Source organism: Homo sapiens, chromosome 13 (genome assembly GCF_000001405.40).
Source record: "Homo sapiens chromosome 13, GRCh38.p14 Primary Assembly".
In the NCBI taxonomy this organism is placed as follows: Eukaryota; Metazoa; Chordata; class Mammalia; order Primates; family Hominidae; genus Homo; species Homo sapiens.
The window spans coordinates 32,796,541-32,802,540 of NC_000013.11; positions in this window are offsets into that span (position 1 = coordinate 32,796,541).

Consider the following 6,000-nt stretch of genomic DNA (forward strand, 5'->3'; position numbering starts at 1 on the left):
TCAAAAAAGGGGCTTCCTCCATAGATGTATGTGTTTAGAGATGAGTGAGTGAGTGGCAGGGCTGTTTAGAGCTCAAGGACGTGGAGCCACAGCCAGCAGAGGACAAAATGAAAGGCAGGCCACCCAAACATGGCTATGATTGTTCATGGCAAAGTGTGAATGGGTTTGAGAACTGGTTAGAGAAGATGTAAGTGATCTTCCATATAAGGGAAGATGTAAAGTAGCTGACTGTATGGAGAGGGAGAGAGGATATATTGGAAAAATGCTGTGCTGTGAGCCCCCCAGTCCCCACCCATAATGTACTGAGTGGCTTGTTCAGCATCCTGTTGCCTGGCCTACCTAGCAAGATCTGAGGGGTCAGGGGAGAGGAGTGGGGGTGGGGTGGGCATGAAGGTGGAGGGAAAGCAGCCGGTCTGGGCAGTGCCTGGGAAGTGCTACTCTCCCCTCTGCTGGCCTGGCTGGTCTACAGTCCTGGATCCTGGGCAGTGGATGTAGAATCTGGGTAAGAGGAAGGCCTGGGGTCACTGAAGAGATTTTTGTCCAAGAGGGTGGCCTTCTAGGGTGAGGACTGCTCAGAATTGTGGGGGATTCCAAAATTAAGAGGGAATTCTAGAGTGGCTGACTGAAGGAGAGCCACTCTGAAAGGGCATGGGGGGTAGATGGCTCAGCAGGGGAGAAAAGCCTAAGAGGAAAAGAATCTGCCAGAAGCATCTGCCCAGCTCAGAGAGCTTGCCCACCACCAAGACACAAGTAGGAGCTTTCTTTCCCCGATCTCTATTCCTTCCTTATTGCACCCTCTGGATTTGCCATGTAGCCTTCAGAAATGGCTTTCAGACATTGTGGATGTGGGTAGGAAGGGAGAAAAACAGCACATCTTCCCCCCAAAGCAGGCCAACCACCTGCCAGCCTTAGCTTGATAGAGGAGGGCAGAGGGAAGGGAGGTGAGTGAAGTATTCGTTAATATATTGGACCAAACATTTCAAGTTTGAACTGAAGATGGATGGCTTCAAGTAACCATAGAGTTTTGTGTATCTAGTAGCGGTGAGAAAGGGCATGGGCTTGCTCTCTTTCCGAGGTTAGGGCAATACCCACCCCCCCACCCCCCGCCCAATGTCTAGGTTATAACCAGAGTGGAAAACAGAAGAAGAAGAAACATGGATTTTGAGTGCACCTCAGTAATTATGCCACATCAATGTACTGGTAAGAAGAGCTTTGGCAAGATTCTTTTATGGCTACACCCAGAGCCTTGGGCTCCTCCAACCCCACTTCCCGTGTTTCTCAGGAAAGCCTCAATGAAGCTGGAGAGAAGCAGAGGGAGGGGCCAGCCCAGTGCTCTGCGTGGTGGTGGGTGGGGGCCAAGAGCGTCGAGGGCAGACTAATAGAGGCCGTGTGGGTTAGAAAGAAAATATTCGTTAGCACTTCTGGAAAATTCTATGATGCATACACTACACAACGCATTATTTTAGATTTCATTAAATGACCTATGTTCTAGTTAGAAGCCTGTAGAAAACAATAAAAATTTAGAACAACCTAAATATATAGAACAGGAAGTAGAACTGAGTAAATCAGAGTTTATTCATATGATGGAACAAGATGCAGTCATTAAAAATTATGTTTTCAAAGATATTTGATAATATGAAAAAGACACCTGATAGGAGATTGCCATTTCCGTATGACAAAATGGCTGAATATTAGCAATTTCTTATGATTTAATCCAGTAATAAAACTGTTACTACAATACAATACTCCAATTTTGAAGGGAAGAAACTACATAGAACTACATACAAATACAACTGAGTGTCTTCTGCATGTTAAGTTCGTTATTATTATCTCAAATCCTCAGAAGCCCTGTGGGATGGCTACTATTCTTATCTCCACTTTACAGATGAGGAAACTGAGTCTCATTGGGTTTTGAGTAGTAAATATGTTAGGCTTATTGCAAGTCCCAAGTTTAGTAGGGAGCAAGGAGAAAACGACATTTTTTTTTTCCCTTCCCTGTCACTTCAAACCCACTCCCTTCGTTCCCACCAGGGGATGTTACAGGTCCCATGGTTTTCCTGGGTGACCACAGACAGGCTTCTTCTCACCTTCATAGCCTGGTTCCCCCGGTGCCTCTAACTCCTGAACACCACTTGAGCTTCCTTCCCTTCCTTCTTCCCCTTCCTTCCCCCGCTTGACTTGTAGAGAGTGGAACATGGTGTCTGTCCTCTCCCTGCCAGCCTGAGCATGCGAACCCAAGCTTCAAGGTCTCTTAGGTGTCCTGGTAGGTGCTTTCCATCTTCCATATGGCTCATGGGACACAGAACGCTTGTTCTGCCGTGGACTTTTAGACAAAACTCTGAGACAACTGAAATAGTTGCACCTAACACTCTGTTAATTTTGCAAAGGGCCACACAGAAAATGGCAAGGCTAGATCTGAATGTAAGTCTCTCCGGCTCAGTAACCTCATCTGCCTCTCTACAGCAATTAATTTAAAAGAAAATGGTTTGAGGCCAGGCGGGGTGGCTCACGCCTATAATCCCAGCACTTTGGGAGGCCAAGGTGGGCGGATCACCTGAGGTCAGGAGTTCGAGACCAGTCTGACCAACATGGTGAAACCCCATCTCTACTAAAAATACAAAAATTAGCTGGGCATGGTGGTGCATGCCTGTAATCTCAGCTACTCAGGAGGCTGAGGCAGGAGAATTGCTTGAACCCGGGAGGCAGAGGTTGTGGTGAGCCGACATTGTGCCACTGCACTCCAGCCTGGGTAACAGAGTGAGACACTGTCTCAAAAAAAAAAAAAAAAAAAAAAAAGAAGTGGTTTATACTTGGCAGAAGGATTTCAAATAGGGAGCTTCCTTCACAGATGTATGTGTTTAAAGGTCAGTCAATGAGTAGTAGAGCTGTTTTGAGCTCAAGAACATGGAGCCACAGCTAGGAGAAGATTAAATGAAAAAAATTCCCAAAAAAGAAAAGAAAAAGGAAAATACCCCCCACCAAGATCTCAGTCACTTTCCAAATCAAGATCCCCCACACATCTTGCTCAGCTTCTCATCCTCAACTTAGATGGTGCCAGAGATCCCAATCAAGATCATATCTAGAAGGCAGAAATCTCCAGGAAGAACTCCACCAAGACGAATGCCTGTTCTACCCAGGCCTAGGAGAAATGGCTGTGCAGTGGGAGGATGAACGCATTCATCAGCATTCTTGTCCAGGAGTAGCTCATCATCCTCTCCTGTCATTTCTGGTCACCACCAAAGAAGTCTTGCAAAAGGACATCTAGTCTCTAGTTAAGGCAATTAACTAGTGAATTAACCATTGAATTGCACACTAAACGGGTGAATTGTATGGTATATGAATTATACATCAATAAAGCTGTATATATACTGTGTATGTATGTGTGTGTATGTATATATATATAGTGTGTGTGTATATATATACATACAATAGAAATTCTAAGGAACCAAGCAATAAATCTAAGAAAAATTGCCAAATAATGGAGAAAATAATATGGTACATTTAAAAACATTTAAAAGGTAAACTAGAAATATGCCATATTAATAGACAGGAAGAATCATATAACAAAAACATGTCAGTTGTCCCCAAATTCAAAACAATTTGAATACAAATCTCATTTGTATTTTCGGGAAACTTGATAAACAATTCTAAGATTTAGGTAGAAGAACAAAGAAAAATGGTTAGCCAAGACAATCTAGAAGTAGAAAAAGATGGGAATGGTTCCTCTATCAAGACTTGGGATGAAACTTAGCTAATTAAGACAATACGTTGTAGTGCAGGGATAGAAAGTTGACTAATGGAACAAATTAATGAGTCTAGAAATGGACCTGTCAATCTTTGGAAATTTGACTTACGGTGGAGAGGACGATGCAGATCAGTGGTGGAGAAGGAACTGCTCAGTGAGTGGTGCTGGGGCAATTGTCTCTCCACATAGAAAAATATGGAATTGTATCTCTGTTTCACACCATATATCAATATAAATCCCCAATGGATTAAGGGCTTAAGTGTGAAAATAAATATTTTAAAAGTTATGGCTGAGTGCGGTGGCACACGCCTGTAATCCCAGCACTTTGGGAGGCCGAGGTGGGTGGATCACGAGGTCAGGAGATCAAGACCATCCTGGCTAACATGGTGAAACCCCATCTCTACTAAAAATACAAAAAATTAGCCGGGCGTGGTGGCAGGTGCCTGTAGTCCCAGCTACTCGGGAGGCTGAGGCAGGAGAATGGCGTGAACCCGGGAGGCAGAGCTTGCAGTGAGCTGAAATCGTGCCACTGCACTCCAGCCTGGGCAACAGAGCAAGACTCCGTCTCAAAAACAAAACAAAACAAAAACTTTCAGTCTGGGCAACATTGTGAGACTCATCTCTACAAAAAAAATTAAACAATTAGCTAGCTGGCATATGCCTGTAGTCACAGCTACATGGGAGGCTGGGGTGGGAGGATTGCTTGAGCCCAGGAGGTCAGGGCTGCAGTGAGCTGTGATTGTGTCACTGCACTCCAGGTTGGGTGACAGAGCAAGATCCTGTCTCAAAAAAGAAAAGAAAATTTTTAGAAGAAAATGGAGGACAATATCTTTATTACCTTGGGATAGATAAGGATTTCTTAACTAAGACATAAAAGAAAATATTAAATTTGACTACATTGATGTTAAAAAATTTCTGTTTATTAAAGGACATCATAAAAAGAGGGAAGAATCAAGCCCCAATCTGGGATACAACTGCAACACATATAACTGATAAAAGATTAACATCCAGTGTTAGCAAAAACTCCTGTATAGCAAAGACTAGACAACCCAGTATAAGAATAGGCAAAACACTTGAACAGACATTTCACACAGAGGAAACACAGATGGTAAATAAACACGCTCAACCTCATCACTAATCAGGGAAATCTAGATCTCAACTAGAAATCATTTTATACCCAGCAGATTGGAAAAATTAAGAAGTTTGCCAATCTGAGCTTCAGAAATGATGGAAATGAAAGAAATTCACAAGCACTAGTGAGAATATAAATTGGTACATTGGAAAACAAATTGACATCATTTTGTAAAGCTGTACATTTGTATATCCTATGACAGAGCAGTTCGACTTCTAGTATATATTCTAGAGAAACTCTTGTACATGAGCATCATGAAACATAAAAGAATGTTTAATACAACCCTGTTCACGAAATAGTGAAAATGAGTGAGCATGGATGAATCTTAGTACCAGAATGCTGAGTGAGAAAAGCTAGTTTCAGAAGACTACATAGCTAAAGAGACATTTTTATGAAGTTCAACAAGCAAAATGAAACCCTATATTGTTTAGTGATACATACGTTATAAAACTATATATACATAGAAGTGTATATGTATATGACTCTGTATCTGTATATATAAAAAGGTAAGGAAATGATAAAACCTAACATTCAAGAAAGGTTATACCTGGTGGGATCACAAAGTTGGGATATAAAAGGAGTACATAGGTAGAAGCAATGGTAGTGCTTCTGTTCTGCTGCTTACATTTCATGGCTTAATAATGGACATTTCATTTATTATTATGCTGTGTGACACATTACATATATTCTTGTTTATGTATTAAATGCATTAAATAAGATACACATGAAAAATGCTTGCTTTAATTCTGGACTCAGATATAATTGTTCACATGAAGTGGCTTTGGTGGGTAGAATGGGGAGGGCAGCCTACAACAGCTCAGTACAATAGGGCCTGAGGCCCTTCCACCGGAAGAAGGAGCCAACTCCTCCACCCCCACATCAAGGCCTAGGATTCCAAAAGCAAAGAGGCATTTTGAGTAAGCCTTGCAGTTTTTCTCTCACTTGATCCACTCTTAGCCCACATCTGTGACCTGAAGAGAGAGAGGCGTGTAAGTAAACAGAAAAAGGTCTGTTATTAAAAACCTCACAAGTCTCTGGGGTAAAAGCTGCCCTGATTTGGAACACCTCTAACTGAATATTGTCTAAAAAGAAAAGGCAGCCATTTCTCCCTCTTTGCAGAGCT